Source organism: Homo sapiens, chromosome 9, assembly GCF_000001405.40.
Source record: "Homo sapiens chromosome 9, GRCh38.p14 Primary Assembly".
NCBI lineage: Eukaryota > Metazoa > Chordata > Mammalia > Primates > Hominidae > Homo > Homo sapiens.
Window position 1 is genome coordinate 12574293 of NC_000009.12, and position 19600 is coordinate 12593892.

Here is a 19600-nt window from a genome sequence, read left to right on the forward strand (position 1 = left end):
TGTGTGATGTTATATAATTCTTAACATAATTCTAAGAAGTGGATATTATTATTCCCATTTGATAGATGACAAAAGACGGGGCCTACAAAATTTCACCAGTTAGCACCAAGTTTATAGGTGACAGAACCAAGATTCACTTGCAGGACTTTCTAACTCCAAATCCCCTGTCCTTAATACCATTTTTTTTTCTATAAGAGCTCCATTTCTTTTGTTTTTGATCTTAAATTTTAAAGGGCTGTGATAATCGTATACCAGTTACTCTACCCAAAAGTTAATCTCCCTATGAATAATATGTAGTATATTAGTGTACAATGGAGGACTGTATTAATTCTCTTTAAAAGAGATATTTCATTGGTCCTTAGGAAAAAAATGATCCTTTTTCTGCCACATTTATCATTTCCTCTTTGTCCTTCTTCTTCTTAAATGCATGAGTTATTATTCCTTCACTAACTCTGAACTGTTCCTTTTAATAATCATATCCAAATATATGGTTTTAAATGTGACTATAATAAAAATCAGTCCGAACACTCTACCACCAGTCATCTGCCCTGGATTTTAGTCCACTATTTTAAGTCACTTGAATGCCAACCAGATTTATAACCTTTAAGTCATATGTTATTCCTTCTTTCTTGTCACTTTTTGATAGCAGTGATAGGACCGCCATCAATATTGCTTGCTCTATTTTTATTTTAAAAGAAATCCTAAATTTAATTCAAGGAAAAGTTAGTACATTATCAGCTAACTATATAAATAAGTTTTTTAAACACATTATAATAATTCTTTATAAAGCAATAAGTATTTATATTAAAGTACACATCACATCTTGACCATATACTTTTTATAATCTTTTTTCTTTATGATTTCCAATAATGGTAGAGTTATGCCTTTGCTGAATCTATGACCTGGTAGTTTTTTAAAAAAAGAAAAAATAAGAATTTTTGGTCCAGTACAGTTCCATGATTGGAGTGTAATTTGTCTTACATATTCCTTGAAAGACTTCCCAGTATAATCAATGGCTCTGATTTCTTCTGCTCGTGACCCTTTCTCCTTGTTCACTACTCTTATATTTGATAAAGCTGGCTTCTCATCATTTTGACAGCCCCCAAACTGCTCTCTGTTCCTGCAGTGGATATATATTTAGCGACTTGGCCACATTTTAGTGTACGTCTATTACTCAGCACTCTATTGCAGACTGTGGAAATTTTTAGGAGGATTATAGGTGAAGGTTTCCTACATTCCCTACAGTGAAGTGATGTGCTTGTAATGGTCAGGAAGTTATTTTTATCCTACCTCATGACACTTCCATGGTTCCTGGGAGTTCCTGTTCCTAATTTGTTCAGTCTTCCTATCAATTCTGTGAGCTAACCTGAGACTCTTTCAATATATACTTTTTTGCTAAAGTTAGAATTCTAACAGACACACCTCTCTAGAATATCCTCTGTTGTCCATTTTGGGCACAGCTGTCTTATTTATCTTCTCATTTATAAATATAGTCAAATAGTTAAATATAGTTTAATAGTTTACAGGACTAAGTAAAGAGTAAAATAGTACTAGGAAGCAGAGTATATTAAATGCAAAGACAGGAAGACATCTATGAACCTAAGACCTCATGAAAATATCTTTTCATCTTTCTGAATAAAATTGACTCAACAATTGCAACGCTAGTGTTCACCTTCAACACGAATGAGTACAAATTGTGCTTAGATTTTCCTCTCTAATACCATTCTCCACTAAAAGAGAGGAAGAGTGATTCCATTTTTTTTGATGTAGGAAAATTCATAGTAGGTCTGGAGCTTCCAATTTTTGTAATTAAGGTTGCTTTAAAGAATGACAGAGAAAGCACTGACAGAGAAAGTACTGAAAGAGAAAGTAGCCCCTTAAAGGGTCTGCTCTGAGCCAAATTAAACAATTTAATTTTTTGTTATCACTTATTAAAAGTAATTAAGTCTATGAAAGAATATGTAATGCTACTGACACAACAAAATTTTAACATGAAGTACTCAAAATAATAATTGAATATATAAGAATGATGACTATGATAGAATATACTTATGCTGTCATTCTTTTTAATAAGAAGGAAGTTGTACATTGACAGGAATTTTAAAAATATCTTAAAGACACTTTGATATATATATATAAATTTATAAATTTATATATGCATACAAATATATGTGATTTATAAAATGTATTACCTCTATAACTGTGGCAAGTTAACAGAAAATTATTCTGAATAAGCAATTGAAAATATAAGCGCTGAACCAAAACCAAGAAAGAATGATTAACACGGATCATACAGAGTATTTCAGAGATACTGTATTAGTTTGCTAGGGCTGCCATAACAAAGTACCACAAACTAGGTGGCTTAAACAACAGAATTTTCTGTTTCAGTTCTGAAGTCTAGAAGTTCAAGATCAAGGTGTCAGCAGGGCTGGCTCCTTCTGAGGGCTATGAGGAAGAATCTGTTCCATCTATCTCCTCTAGCTTCTGTTGGTTTGCTGACAATCTTTGGCAGTCCTTGGCTTGTGGAAGCAATACTCCAAGTCTGACCATGATCTTCTCCTGATATTCTTCCTCTGTGTGTGTGTCTGTGTCCAAACTTCTCTAATTTGTCTAAGAACACCAGTCATATTGGATTGGGGCCTGTCCTAATGACTTGATCTTAACTAATTACATCTTCAAAATACTATTTCTAAATAAGGTCACATTCTGAGGTACTGGGACTGGGATTTCAGCATATAAATTTTGGGAGGCGCAGTTCAACCTATAACAGACACTTAGTGCCATGATATATATAAAAGGAACAATATGTGAATAAACTGAATGCTGAGCATGTTTAAATGTTGGCATATCAAATTAACAAAGTAGAATGTGGAGCAATTAAAATTGTAAAGATGAAGAGCCTCCAAAGTGAAATTATTTATTTAAAGAAACTTTTTTTTTACTGGTACAACTATGAAAGCTACATATATGTGATAAATGGTTGATGGAAATATACATAAGTAAATCTAATTAGGGGATTAAGGCCAGAAATTGGGATGAATCATTAACATTCCTTTTAAGATGTTTATTTAATAGTAATGTGAATATTGAAAAGGGAATTATTGTGGTAAACCACTGAACCTATATTTTTTTTCCTTGGGGAGAGCCTGATTCACAAGCAGAAACCTCATTAAGCCACTCCCAGTGATACCTAAATCAAAAGCAGTCACTCAGGAGCAAGAGGAATATAGTTCTAATAGCAGGAACACAAATTGAGCACATTCAATATCTGAGAAGAATGTTTCATTCTCTTGAAAACTACCTACACACATAAAAACTCAATACAGGTGGCAGTAGCCAGTGTGCACAGGGGAGCAACTCTACTTGCCACAGAACATTCAAGTGCAGGAAAAACAATTAATTTCCATTACTCAGTTCTACAAATGACAAAAAAAAAAAACTTCATCTACTCATACATGGATATTGAAAAGAGCTTTAATATGGAATGAGTGATCATTTGTAATTGGAGATGCTTATTGGGCTCTCTGAATAGGAATTAGAAAAATCTATAGGAAGTTTTACCATATTAACATTTTTTTATCTCTAGGTTTAGGCACTATGATCCTTACCTAGTAAACCAAACCTCTTAGAGAAAAACTAGCATTCCCTTCAATTTTACAGTGCTTTTCAGTTTAGCTCTTTCCTAGCTGATACATGAGATGTTTGTAATTTTGTTAATCATTCAATTAATTAATACAGTGTGTGGAGTGAAATCCAAATGATTCCAGGGGTATCAACATATCCAGGGAGTTCAGAGAAGAGTGGGAAGTTTTCAGTGCCAATGAGTAGTTTTGAAAATCTGTAATTTCAAAAATATTAGGAAGATTCCTGAGTAAAGAAAGCAAAAATTTCATTTAGACGTATTCTTTCCTTTTCTCCTAAATCTTATCTCTTCCCATTTCTCTTAATCATATCTCATGAAGCGTAATCTTATGAAGGTATAGTGAAAGGAGAAAGGACAAAGAAAATGTGAATGAGTTGGGCATTATTGAAGGGGGCCTACCTAACACAAAAATTTTTGCAAAACTACTCCTTAAACTAGACTTGAAATATTGTATTGGCACATGTTTTATGTCAGAAGCTATCCATTGGTCATTAATCTATGCTAAAATTTTGCAATCTAGTCCTTCTTCTGTGTTCTCTGTATTGCCCCCCGTAACCTCTACAGTCATTTAGAAAGTTATAGGAGAGTTCTGTTAGCTATTATCATGGACAATTACTTGATTGACTAAATATAAAAGAAAATTAAACTTCTTTCTCAAGAATTCTAAAATTATATTTAGAATTTGATTTAATAAACATTTGCTGAGTACCAGCCATCTTTATGACTCTAAACTGAAAATGCAGAAAATAAATAGGTACATTGATATAGAGATGACTGATGAGAAGCATGATTTCAAATTATATTGTGTATCAGATTTAACTGGGACTCATATTAGTAAGGTAGATTCTGTCATCCTGCTGAGATTTTTCCAATTCAGTAGAGCTACATCAGCAATGAGAAATAAACACTCAAATACCTACACCAGTCTAACTACTCCATGGGCCATATTTTGAGAATTACTGATCTAAATGAAAGAAGTAATAGAAATGTAAATTTTAAAAACACAAGGTACGCTCAAATGTCAAACTATGAAAGAAAAGTAATATAATTAGTAAAGAAGCAGTCTATGGATTCAGGACACCTACATTTATTTATTTATTTGATTTCTTATTGCCAATTATTTTAACATCTTTACTGAGATATAATTGATATCCAAGAGCTGCACATATGTAATATATACTATTTGAGGGGTTTAAACATATGCAAATACCCATTATACCACCACCACTATCAAGATAATAAACATATCCAACATATTCCAGAGTTTCCTTATGTTTCTGTTTTGTTTTGTTTTTGCTATATGAACACATAACATGAGATCTACCATCTTAACAAATTTTAAAGTGCAAAATACTGTATTTTTAACTATAGGTTCCATGTTGTACAGCAGATCTCTAGAACTCATTCATTGAGCATAACTGAAACATTCTACTCACAGACAAACAACTCTCCATTTTCCCCAACCCTTAGCCCATGTAAATCAATGCTATATTTTCTGTTTCTATGATTATGAATATTTTAGATTCCTTATATAAGTGGAATAATGAACTATGTAATATTTCTGTGATTGGCTTATTTCACTTGAATAATTTTCTACAATTTTATCCATATTGTTGCAAATGGCATGAATGTATTTTTATTAAGGCTGAATAATTTTCCACTGTATGTATACGCCACATTTTCTGTATCCATTCATATATTAATGGACATTTGAGTTGTTTCCACATGATGGCTATGTTGAATAGTGCTGCAATGATCATGGGGATAAAGCTGTTTCTCAAGATCCCAATTTCACTTTTTTTTTTTTTGATATATACCCAGAATTGGGATTGCTGGATCACATGATAGTTTATTTTTAAAAAATTTTCAGGAATCTCCATGTTGTTTTCATAGCTCTACATCGTTTTACGTTCCTACAAACAGTTTACAAGGATTCCAATTTCACCACAACCTCATCAAAACTTCTTATCTTTAGTTTGTTTTTTTAAAAAATAACAGCCAACCTAACAGGTGTGAAATTATATCTCATTGGTATTTTTAATTTGCATTTTCCTGATAATTAATAATGTTGAACATCTTTTGCATACTGGTTGGCCATTTGTAGGTGTAATTCAGAGAGATTTCTTTTCAAGTTCTTTGTCAATTTTTAATTGGGTTATTAGTTTTTTTTGCTATTTAGTTATAGGTGTTTCTTATATTTTTTTAAATGAACTATTTATCAGATATATGGTTTGCCAATATTTTCTCCCGTTCTGTAAGTTGCCTCTTCATTCTATTAATTGTTTTCTGTGCTGTGAAGAAGAAACTTTTTAGTTTGATGTAGTCATACGTTATTTTTGCTTTTGTTGCCTGTGCTTGTTGCTTGTCTCATATACAAGAAATCATTCCCAAGACCATATACAGAAGAGTTACCCCTTCATTTTCTTACAGGAGTTTCACAGTTTCAGGTTTTAAGTTTGTCTTAAGTTTGTCTTCTTCTTGCATGTGTATATCTAGTTTTCTTTTTTTCATGTGTATGTCCAGTTTTTCCAACACCATATGCCAAAAAGACTATCTTTTTCCCACTGTGTGTTTTTGGCATCCTTGTTGTAGATCAGTTGACTGTGTAAGTGTTGCTTTATTTCTAGGTTCTCTATTCTATCTTATAGTCTTATAATTTGAAATCAGAAAGTGTGATGCCTTCAGCTTTATTCTTCCTGATCAAGATTACTTTGGCTTTTGGGGTTCTTTTATGGTTCCAGATGAATCTTAGGATTGTTTTTCCTATTTCTGTGAAAAATGCCATTGAGATTTTGATAGGGATTGCTTTGAACTTGTAGATTGCTTTGAGTAGTTTGGGTGTTTAAACAATGCTGAGTTTTCTGATCCATAAACATGAGATGTCTTTTTATGTACTTGTGTCTTCTTTAATTTATTTTATTAATATTTTGTAGTTTTCAATGTACAAATCTTTCACATTCTGGGTTAGCTTTACTACTAATAATTTTTTATTTTTGATGGTATTATAAATGTGATCATTTTCTTAATTTTCTTTTCATGGTTCATTGACTCTTCTAGGTAGTGGAGATTATAAAAGATATTTTCTTTTTAAGATTATCATGATAATGTTATAAGAAAATATACATCAAGTGTCTAACAAGAACAGAAGTCTATTTCTTTAAAATTCTTTTTCTTCCTCTTCCCTATACAAGTAGAGTAAGTGAAATGCTAGAGGTAAAAGGTTGTGAACATTCCTTTTTTGTTGTTGTTTTTTTTAACAGTTTCAGTTCTCCTTAGAAACTAAGTGATTCTGAAGACACCAACAATTGGATTGCCAGGATATTTACAGTGGAAGTTAACCCACCATGGACAGTTGTTAATGCGTTTGACTTGCTAAAGCACTTTAAGAATCTAAAACAAAAATTGACAAGTAAAGAGACAAAAAGATACTTTCTAAGGCTATATTAAAATACAAAAGCACATCCTTATACTAATATGGCAAAGTACAATTTTCTAGGAGCTGTAATAGGTAGAAAATTAGATGATAAACAACCGGCAGTGCAATATATTTAATCAAGGGCATCACAAGATTTCAGAACGTAAAAAGTGACCTCTAGAAGTATAGATTAGTGCAATTTTATCTAGGAAAAAGTCTCATAATTCAAATAAATATGTATTTGGATAAACTATCCCTTGGAGTGAGAAAGAGGCAGGGAGGGAGAGCATAGATGAACTCCAGCCACTGTTTCTGAGGTGATGTTTTGTACATGTAGGTTAGTGAGGGGACATCAAAGCAGCTTGTTAAGTAGGATACAATAGATTTAATTATCTATATTAAAAGCTACAAAGAGCATACAAACTTCTTTCAACAACTTTAGCACCAAACACAGGTTCATAAAAAACAGCATTAAATCCAATGCAAAATTATGAAAGCAAAAGTCCCAGTTCACTTTTAGAGTCACCGAATAGCTCTCAAGTCGGAAAAGCCTACCACAACAAGCAACCTGATGCACAAATGTGGGGAAATAATGTAGCCATTAGAAAGTTTGAAACTGAGGCTGCTGGGAAGGCGAATAAATCATTCATATAGACCTGGACTCTAGAAGAAGGGATGGCTGACTTTGAATGTGAATGTAAACGGTGATTTCAGTTGCCATTGATTCACTGCAATGAAAATTTTATTTTACGAAAAGTAATTGAATTGAGTACAGAAACAACTACAGTTGATTACATTTTCTAGAGTATTGCTATTTGTGTTGTGAAGCTGATATCTTAGCAAATTAGCACATCTGTAAGCATTCCCCTTGGGCTTGCTAACTGGACATGAAGCAACTGATAGTTGGTGCTGACACAATAGATTAAACTGAAAATTTTGGAAACCATAAAAGTCATGCAGGCATTATCAAGAATCAGCACTCTTTCTTACTATAAAGTTTGTAACTCTTTTGGAATCATTCCACCATGCCATTCTTTTCTGTGCCTTGGTTCAAGGAATGGAAAACCCAACATTCATAAATCTGAAAGTACTGGAAGTTGCACTACTCCCAGCTTTGGAGTCTTACTCATCTCTAACTCATTCAACCCAGAAACCTCTACATTTTGCCCTTACTACAGCTGTACATATTTGGTGGAAATAGTATATCCCTGCAACTCACATTAGAGACATATTCTAAAACCATAGTGAATGATTTTGAGCTAGCCAGTAAACAAATTGAAGTTTGTTAAAATTCATTCTGGTGTTCTAAATGAATCTCCTCCCACCTCCTCCATCTACAGTAATCATGTGGATTAAACAGCAAGAATAGTTTTGTTCAATACGTTCACCCTGTGGCAATGTAGCTGATTACATTAGAAATAACCTACTAATGAAACTACTACACAAATTATCATCCTGAACTATTTAGGCCAGTTCACAACTGGATATGCCCTTTATGCTGGCTAATTACATGCACATAATGCCAAGATAAAGGAGACTGTCATTCTAATACAATGTTGGAAGATGGCTTAATCTTACTTTGGACTGGTATTTTCGTCAATAAATGAGAAACAATGTTGGCAATGATGTCAAGATGGGCAACTAAAAATGTTTGAATCCTGAAAGATCTCATGTATGGACCAAAATAGACAAAATGAAAAACCTATAAAGCAGTAGACAACAGATAAATCATAATTACTGGGGAGGAATAGTTTTGAAAATAGTTAGTCCCAGTTGGCCCTTTATGTTTAAAATAATAAAGATGGGTTTATGACCACAACATACAATAAGGACTTCAGAAGGAAAATGATAGTTAGCACACCATTTCTTTCATTGCAGTTGTACAAAATTTACTTTTTAATGTTAGAGTTCTTAAAATGGAAACAACTTGACAAAATATTCATCATGAAATTTTGAGACCAAAATGAAATGCAAGAAAAGAACACATTAACCGTTCTTCACAACACTTAAGGAGGAATAAAGCAACTCAAAGGTCACCATCTTAGTACAGCATAGTTCTCTTATTTAGAATTGGGTTATTAGAGCCATTGTTAACGCTGCTCAGAAAAACACTGAGAACAAAAAATCCATTGTAGATAAAGTGATTGAAACCTTAGCTAAAGGGTGCTTGTTACCTTAATCATTGTTTGAAAGAATATACAGCAGGGGAAAAAATACATTTTCATATACAGTTTTGATTTTTTTTTTTTTTTGCTATAAGAGTATAATCTGTGAAGGATTTTATAAAGAATATTGAGAGGTCTTTTGCAAACATTATTCCATTTAAATATTTTTTAATAATATTTAGAAAAACAAAAAGGTGTATTATATTACCTAAACTTTGAAACAAAGACAAAATGTACAATCTGTGACCCAATCAACTCACCCTATTGATTGATCCATATAGTACACTTGCATTATGGCTGATTAGCTGTGAATGACATAAACCAAATGTCAATATCTAACCTTGAAGATAAATTCCAATCATTTTTCAGATCCTTGACTTGTGTGCCAACATGCATTTTTAAAGTTTAAAAAAAATCTAAGAATCAATTATTACATTAAGTAAGATTCTTGTCTTTATTTTTCTTTTTTCTTAATTTTCCTCAGTGAACATGTATTACCTTTTAATCTGATAAAGAATGTAACATTTTTACAAGTTGTCATGCATGTTGTCTGGAATATTATGGGTATTTATTTAATAATTGTTTGCATTTGTTAGTAGCAAATTAGATTATCTGCTAACACTATCATGTAATATGAAGATATAAGCAATCCATATACCTCTTTCTAATAGACTTGTTTAGCATGTTTGCCTGAGACTAATTTATATTTAGAATATTTTATACTTACTCATCATCCAGATATTTTCAAGTCAGAGCCTGTAAGACAATGTGTTGGAGAGACTGTACTATATTCAGGGAAGTGCTTTCCAAACTGTACAACAATTTGGAACACCAATTTGGAACATCCTCTGAAAATAAATTCTGCAGTAAAATAAAATTTGTTGAATTTTATTTCTAACCTTTTGATGAAGCTTGCCTTTCTTCAGAAGAATTCTAACTCTTATTTGCCTATAAAAATACCTATGAAAATCTTTAATATTTTGAAGTGTGTGTCTCTCAAAAATATGTTTCTCTATAGGACCTTTCATGCATGATAAGCAACTACTAACATCCCACAAATTGGTGTTCTAAAACACGTGCCTTGCAAACACTGACTCTGAAGAGTGATGACAAGAAGGAAATGAACCCTTTTGGACATTTTATGAAAAGTATTTTATCTTGTTTATAGCCTATCTATACAAAGTAACTGAAATAATATACAGTATATATTTCATCAAAGTGTTAAATGTTTGAGCGACATTCAATATTCTATTAAATTTAATGTGAAGTAAGCAACTGATTGCATCAATCTCTTAGGAGTCATTCTCAGTTATATTTGTCATAGCAGCAGCCCTCTGTAGAACTCGATATATAAGAACAAATCAGCATTATGAATTGTAAGAAGGTGGAGAGATGGCCATTATAAATCTAAATATTAGTGTGCTTCTAAATTACTGGATAGTGTTCAACATTGAACAGAATTTTATTTAAAATGCAGAAATGACTGAATGGTATAGGCCAGGCAATTTTATACTTAATCACTATAACCAAGAGCTTACAGTCATCATTGGTAATCCTTGCATTAAGAGATCAAATAGGTTTTTGAAATAAACACTTTCATTTTGTTCTTCTAAATACTTCTGTGTTAGGACTAGTATGTGCCAGACTTAGCAAAAGATTCACCTTAATCAGTACCACTGTAGCAGGGGGAAGATTGGTCCAGTGATTAATTTCATGTTGTACTCATGGGAACAAAACAGTTGAGTATATTTGTCTCTATAATCCCTTTTCCCAGATGTAATTACAAATGGAATTGATCAACCCATCTGTTTCTAGTGAGGCTGAAGCAGGCATATTAGAACTGCTAGGGTACGTAATAACTTAGTACAGATCATCAGTCCTTGGGGCTACAGGGAATTGGATATTAGAATCTTATTTTAAAAGAAAACAATTTTTCTTTTTCAAGTTCCTTCCTTCTTGTCAAGTTTCAACAAATTTCTCTTCTAGCATCTCTGTAGAGTCTTGTGAAGGAAAGTTAATAACTATATGTTTATCAGCAGCATGATAGAGCTAGAAGAATAATAGGTTTTGAAGACAGACAGACTTTCTTGACAATATTCAAATTGCTATAAACTCACCTTCTTGGAGCATCAACTACGTCATCTTTATAATGTGAACAATGATATTTAGCTAACAGAGCTATTAAAAAGATTACACAAGATCATCTTTCTAAAGCAACCAGACATTTCCAGAGAAATTGAGAGCAATTAATAAAAGCGAATCTTCAAACTTTATATACTATTTTTGCTGTGTAACTGCTATAGCATATTTTGACGAAAGTTCATATTTAATATACATGCCTTACTGAGCAATTTTAAAACTCAACACCCTCAAAATATGTATCCTAGACCAATTTCTTCAGCTTAGCCTGCATACCAAATAAATAAGGAAAAAAATGTCGTTGAACTACATAAAAATCTGCCCTTGATGTCTACAATCTCCTTAGAAGCATATTGATGCCAGTATAATTACAGTTACTGAAATCACACATATCAGTCTTCACGCAAGATTATGAGCAACTGTAGGTACAAAATAAAAGACTAAGATCTAAGTATTTTCACTAATATGCATTTTTGAAAATTAGAAATGTAAAAGAGATCCAAGTATCTTGATTAATCCATATTTTTGAAAATTTCAACTTATGAGTTTTTTGCATATATACATATTTCATTTAATATTACTTTGCTCATCGTTGATTCAATACAATGCTCTGACTAGTTTCCTAAGATATTTGTATGTGTGTGTATCTTGTGAATGTTTTCCACAAGTTTTAGGGACTAGCATACTCCCTCATTTAATGACTGCCAAAGCTAGCGTGGCAGATAGTGTAGTGCTGTAAATTTTCTACCAAGGAGCTTTCATGTACCATCTACAAACATTCTCAGCCAATGAGCAGTTCATCACCCAAGGTGATGTGAGCATGTTCTACAATGTGTATTTTTACACCACAGTGGCCTTACTTTCTGTCACTTATTTTGTACTCTCCAACAGTTTTGATTTCTAATACCTGACAAGAGTTGTGCAGAAGAGAAGTTATATCTGCCACAAGGAACCATCACTCTGTGTGTTAAAATTCTAGTCGTACAAAACTTCATAGTATCTGTAAGATAATTATTGATGAAGTAAAGAAAAAAATCAGTAGGCAATTAGGTAGAAGGTAGAAACACTCTAACATTGAGAAGGGAATTGTAAATTTCATTGAAACCTAACATAGGCTGGATTAGCAAATATAGAAAGACAATGTAGCCTGTCGTGGTCTCAAGGAATCTGAAGAGAATGGCAGAAAGACTAGAAATGGAGAAAAACTATCTTCAATGAGGACTGTGCCATAAAGACCCTCCAAATCTCCATTTTGGTTAAAATATTCACTACTGGGCTCCATCTCTCTCTTTTTTGTTTGTTTCTCTCTCTCCCTCTTTTCTCCCTCTGTAGACACACCCATTTGCATCAGCTTTCCAGGAAATGTGTATAACTATTACATAACTTCAACTGCATTCATTCATTTTAATTTGCTATCAAACAAAATCATGTTTCAAATGTTTATTATTTGTATTTACCTCTTATTTTAAATTTTGTCTTTACAGTGAACATGATAACAGTTATTCTATCCTTAAATGTTAATGCCCTGAAAATTACCTAGTCACCTCTGACCACAGAGACTTGTCAATGATTTTTCTTTTTGGTCTGAACTGAGAAGTGATTATTTTCTTCTAAATATTGAAAATATAAATTTTTTTCGAGTAAAAAAATTTAATAAGATTTTTGAACTAAGATAATTATCTCTCAATATGCATAACATTATTTGCTCCTAATTGTTTTAGTGATTGGGAGGAGTTTCATCCTACTTTGCAAACCAGTTATGTATTTCTCTGTTCAGTTTTTTATAGGTATGCATCCTCTTAGAAAGCTTTCTTATTTTATTTTACTTTTTTGGACACAGGGTCTCGCTGTCACCCAAGCTGGAGTGCAGTAGCGCAAGCATAGCTCAGTGCAGCCTTGAACTCCAGGGCTCAAGCAATTAATTCACCCACGTTGGCCTCTGAAAGTGTTGAGATTACAGGTGTGAGCCTCCGTGCCTGGCCAAAACCATTTTTATAAATATAGCCAGTAGTGGTTGTGTCACTTACAACATCTTTGATTGCCAGTGACAGAAAATACAACCTAAACTGGCTTATAATAAAGGATAATGTAGGCCGGGCGCAGTGGCTCACGCCTGTAATCCCAGCGCTCTGGGAGGACGAGGCGAGGGGATCATGAGGTCAGGAGATCGAGACCATCCTGGCTGACACAGTGAAACCCCGTCTCTACTAAAAAATACAAAAAATTAGCCGGGCGTATTGGCGGGCGCCTGTAGTCCCAGCTACTCGGGAGGCTGAGGCAGGAGAATGGCGTGAACCCGGGAGGCGGAGCTTGCAGTGAGCGGAGATCACGCCACTGCACTCCAGCCTGGGCTACAGAGCGAGACTCCGTCTCATAAAATAAAATAGATAGATAGATAGATAGATAGATAGATAGATAGATAGATAGATAGATAGATAGATAAAGGATAATGTACTCACATAACTAAAAACCTCAGAGAACAGGCTGGCTTCAGATGTGATCTGTGACAGGACATCAACAGATTTCCCCAGGACTTGGTTCCTCTATCTCTTATCTTTGTGAACTTTTAGATGGCTTTCTTCTCAGATAAGTAGCAAGATGTTTGCATCTTGAGAGGTAAAATTTACCTCTAAATTTTACATCTTGTGTTGTTCAAATATTTTCTACTTAAGCAAAGCCCTATGGCAAATACTTTTAAATTATTTTTTATCTTTTAGAGACAGAGTCTGGCTTTGCTGCCCAGGCTGGAGTGCAGTGGTGCAATCATAGCTCATTGCTGCTTCAGACTCCTGGGCTCAAGGAACCCTCCCGCGTCAGCCTCCCCAATACCTGGGACTACAGGTGCACATCACCATGCTCAGCTAATTTTTAAACTTCTTGTAGAGACGGAGTCTTGCTATCTTCCCCAGGCTGGTGTTGAACTCTTAAGCTTAAGCAGTTCTCCCACCTCAGCCTCCCAAACTGCTGGGATTACAGACGTGAGCCACTGCATCAGGAGGTAAATTCTGAATGGTCTAATCGGCATGGATTTAGCCAGTAGATTGGAATGCATTAAGTATCTTTTAGGTCTAGCTGGCATGTCTTACTGATAGATGGAGATGGAATCAGCTTTACTCAAAGCACAAACATTGAAGCCACAGTGGGAGAAAAATAATTAACTGGGTACTACTGGATTAGCTGGGTACTCTCACTAAAGGAAGAAAGAATGTGTGCTGAATGGCCCTGCAAAAAAGTAAATACTATTCAGCTGCAAATCTTATTTTTACAAAAGTATCATTTTAAATAGAAACATTTACATTTGAGCCATACTCTTCCTTTGTATACCTCCTCTTGTCCCAACACATGGTGGTCATGGTGGCAGAGTGTTTCTGCTTTTGGAAAAGGCTGTATTACAGATGTAGATGAATCTGAAAATTAGACTGAGGACCCCCTAAGGAAATGGAACCTTTTGATCTCTGGCCTTGATTGACAGCTATTTGAGTGAACAAAAACCTGGAAGTATTTCTCTAAAGTTTCAGATTAGATGCTAATTTTTGTTGTTGTTGTTGTTGTTGTTGTTTGTTTTTGTTTTTTAACATGGACAAGCTTTGCCTCTTCCTTAATGGATGACATTTTCCTAAAAGATGTATTGAATTTAAAATGCCATTGATTGTAAAACCTAACATCTCTTGTACAACTGGGACGAGAAAAGTAGCCAGTTAAATTATGGAACAGCGTTAATTATAGCATGCCTCCAGATATGTGAGATATTACAATGGGAGAAAATTGTGCTTCTTACAATTGATGCTATAAGTAGGGTAATATTTACATTGGGTTATATATTGTAATTGTTTAAGCCATGCACTTTGGAATCAGAGAGATCTGGGTTTGAGACCCAAATTTTCACATACAAGTAGTTTCACCACACCAAATTGCTTACCTTGTCTTTGGTTTCCTTATACGTAAGAAGTAAAATAATATATTAATGATATAGGGTTGTGAGGATTTAAAACAGATAACACACAAAAAGCCCATAACTTATAATAACTATCACTTAGTCAGCATTCAATAATCTTAACTGTTATTGGAATTAATCTGGATATATATAGTCCAAATAGATTAAAAGTACGCAGATATTCAAACACATTTGGAAACAAGACTTTGGAATGCTCACTCTCCTACCCACAGGCTTTTGAATTATTATCTAACCACCTGCTTTATATTTCTGAAAGGGTTGCCATAAGCCATTATCCATAAACTGGTCATTCTACCTCAATCACATTTTATTCCTCCAAAAATTACCCTTCTTCTTTCATCGTTGTCTTTTCCAAATCTCCATACTCTCTTTAGATTTCCTCCTTCTTCATCTTCCTTAAACTCCTTGGGGTGGCCACTAGACCTATTGACAGATATCCCTTTTCTCCCTCTTCCTGATACATAGGATGACCACACCTGCATGCCTCTTTGACTTTAGACATGCCTAGATATTTTGTTTTGATCCAGGAAATGTAAGCAAAAGGTCAATTTTGAGAAAATTTTATGTTGGGGCCAGGGAGCCATTCACCAGCTCCCTTTTCTTACCTAGTTTATGTAAAAACCTGTAAAGGCAAAGTTTTTGTCAGCACTGATGCCTGAGTGAATACCATTGGTCAAGAGTTTTCGCATCCAACAGGGATTGGGAATGAGAAATATACTTTTGTTGTGTAAGGTCTTTGAGATTTGGTGTGTTGCTTCTGATCATAGCAAAATCCAGACCAGTAGTTCTCAACCAAGGACAAATTTGCTTCCCAGAAAGCACTTGACACTGTCTGTAAACATTTTTGGCTGTCACAACTGGGGGCAGCGGTGCTACCGGCATTCAGTAGAGGTCAGCAATGCTACAAGGCACAGGGCAGCCCCAGAGTTCAGAATTATCTGGACCAAAATATAACCATTGTCAAGACGGAGAAAATTTGATGTAAGCTATCTTCACTAATATATTTTCTGTTTAAAATTTAAAAACTCTTTAAAATTCCTAGATTAATGCAATAAGTTGATACTTTAACAAATGTTCATCTATTCAAAGTTTATCCAACAAATTTCTTTTGGATATTCAGAATAAAATACTCTAAATAACTTTTAAACTGTAGTTATTTATGCTTTCAAGAAGCACAGACAGAATAAATTTACTTAGGAAGTTTAGGCTGAAAGAAATTTTAGAGCTCCACAATAAAATCAAGCAAATATAAATGCTGAGCTGAAGACTATGTTACACTTTAGGGAACTATGCTGGGACCATAACTTACCAAACATTGGTCATGTGTAGTTTATAGCCTTATAAAAATCAGAACTAAACTAAATTAAAGTAAATGCATTTAACAGTGCTATACGGTGGACTTCCTCCCTTTAATTTCTGTGAAATACTTTTCATCCATATGGTACAGTTCTGTCTAGAAGAGAACTAATAAGATTACGGTGAATCTCTCTAGGTTTTCAGATAATTTCTTCTTTGAAATATCTAGTTTGTCTTCAGAAATTAATGAAAAGGGACACTTTTTTCTGTTACTATAATTTACTTATAACTTCAGCCTCACAAAATAGGCATTCAGTTGGAGAAATCTGAAGTGATATTTTATCTTCAAAAGTAGTTTTCAAGTGTAAGGATTAACTTTTTTAAGTTTCTAGCTTTTAAGCAAGCATGACAGCCAACTGACAGAGTTTCACTGCTCCCAGGGAAAGGTGGGCAGGAGGGTGAGCAGCAACAAAAATAAGCTTCGCTTAAGACCATATGACCCTAGTTTAATGTATGTTTTATATTAATTCATGAACATATATGTTATACAATGTATGAGTTCAAGTTTGTGTCATGCAAGAAACTGTTACAAATAAATACCAAATCAACAGTATTTGTCTAAAAAATGCAACCCATTTAGTTTTTTAAAATCCACATAACTGTTTCTCTCTTTTGATAAACTCTTCCTTCACCCACTCCCATTTCACTACTGTTCTCTCTAAAGCAGTGATGTCAAATAGAAATATAAGCAAGCTGCAAATACAAGGAGCAGATGTAACTGTAAACATTCCAGTAGCATCATTAAAAAAGTACAACGAAAGAGGTAGAATTAATTTTAATAATATATTTTATTTAACTCAATATATCTAAAATATTATTTCAATGTGTTACATTCTGTTTTTCATACTAAGTCTGAAATGGAGTGTGTATGTTACAATGTAGGACAACCCAAATGGAATGTAGTGTATCTATGAGAACAACTCAAATAGAATTAGCCACATGTCAAATACTGTATAGCCATATGTAATTAGTGACTACTATATTGGATTGTATATATCTAGATAAATGATTAAAGAAATTTGCTCATTTTGGATAATAGAAGGAAAACTAAAGAAGAAAGATCAATCTTCAAAAATACAAGATTTTTGTAGCAAGTGAAAGAGAAACAAAATGTATTATTCTGAAGAACAGACATTTATAGAACAGTTGATGGATATCACTTGAATAAAAAAAGAATTGCTTTAGTTGCTAGTGTTATTCCAGCAACAAAATGGTTTGCACTTAACAAAAATGTAGGAGGAATTCAAGCTAGTCCAAGTATCTAGAAAAAGTAATATCTAAATTAAAAGTTTAAATAAAAGCTTAACCCTGTCCACTGTGACTGTATTACAGCAAACACACCACCATAACAAGTTTTCATAAGCTTTTGGTAGAAACCATGTTAAGTGTTTTACATCAGGATCTCAATTCTTCATAATTTTAATAAATAACAGCATTCTTTCTGTGTTCTCATGTTGAAGGATCAGTAAACTGAGGTTTCAAGAGGTTAAGAAAGTAGCCCAAAGGCATATGGATAGTAAGTGGTAGAGCTGCAATCTGAGATTAGGTGCCCTAAATCTTTACCTTTATCCATTTTGCCATCAGAACATTGATTAACTTACAGCACCCTTCTTACATATGACTCTACCTCCTGACCTAAACACACACCAAAGGCAATTTCAAAGACTAGGCATACTACTTCCCCAGCTTCTTCTATCTTACCCTAAGATGATTTCCAAAACAACCCACTTAATTGTGTGGAACACTTCACTTTCCTTTTTTTCCTCAATTTTAGGTTTTGGGTTCTCTAGAATTTTATCCCCAGGAGAAATATAAGAAATCCATAATTTAAAAGAGAAGAAAATAAATGTGCACTTAGTGTAACTATAAAATATTTGTGTTGAGGTTGGATTACATTTAGAGTATTTTAAAAGAAAAGTATCTTCCACTTTAAATATATGCTATTTGGTTTAATGCTGAAAAAAATTCTTAAAAATTAATTGATTTATGACTTACTTACTTCGAGTATAATTAGTGTAATTTTATTAAATTTAACACTCGCTTTTAATCCCCCTATTCCAACATTAGATATCAGGTAAACCCACTCTCATGAGAATATTAGTTACCTTGTTCTACCTTCATTATTGTCTTTGTGGAGTGTTATAATTATTTTTCTTATCAGTTCATTCTGCACAGTTCTGGTATCACCTCCAGCAGTTTGGGAACACATCATTCCTCTTAAAACCCTCCTATAATAATCCATTTATTCTCTTTCCCTTGAGAAACTTACCCTCCTTGTTGTTTCCAAAGTCAGCCAGCATCCATGACTCTCCTCCTTGCCAGACCTAGGCTACCTTCATCTTGTGGAAAATGTGTAACACATGAAGGCATGGGTTTAAATGTGATTCTCGTATAGAATAGAGAGTAGTAAGATAGGAATCTTCTGAGAGAATGAGATGATTGGTTTTAAGAGTTATCTCAAATGACTTAAAATGAATTGTTGTACCACAATTACTTAAGCTATGGAAGTCTCATCCTCTTTACATTTTCCTAAGGTATTGTGTTGTTTGTTTTGCTCAAGCCCTTATTATTATTGAAGTGCTGAGTAAAAATATTAAAAGAATCATATGCTTTCTATTTGTATTTGTTGACATGTCAAACGTTTTGGAAAGGAATGCCTCTCTGCAAACATCCATAGATCCATGTTACATATGCATCATTTGTTCATAACCTTGAGGTGACAACAGAGGCATCTGAAACATTATCCAATTACACACTCATACCTGATGATAACCCTTCAGTGTGTGCTTATTATGTAGAAAGAGGCTTTTAATGATGTCTCTATTTTATTTCCCATCAGAGTCGTAAAATATAATGCAAAACCAAATGGTAATGTAGAACTAAGAGAAAATCAACACTTCAGTCTTGCACTTCTGATAACCTTATCA

At 33.6% G+C, this 19600-nt stretch overlaps 2 annotated features.

Annotated features, from left to right (window-relative positions):
* Window positions 7040-7184: an enhancer, noted in NCBI's record as "145 bp 9:12581404 sequence used in MPRA reporter constructs". NCBI's record gives its function as "activates a minimal TATA-containing promoter with rs11788283 allelic activity by MPRAs in UACC903 melanoma cells {active_cell/tissue: UACC903}" and the evidence as "EXISTENCE:reporter gene assay evidence [ECO:0000049][PMID:36423637]".
* Window position 7112: a transcriptional cis regulatory region, noted in NCBI's record as "rs11788283 or 9:12581404 MPRA-significant variant associated with a GWAS melanoma risk locus at 9p23". NCBI's record gives its function as "allelic transcriptional activity by MPRAs in UACC903 melanoma cells {active_cell/tissue: UACC903}" and the evidence as "EXISTENCE:reporter gene assay evidence [ECO:0000049][PMID:36423637]".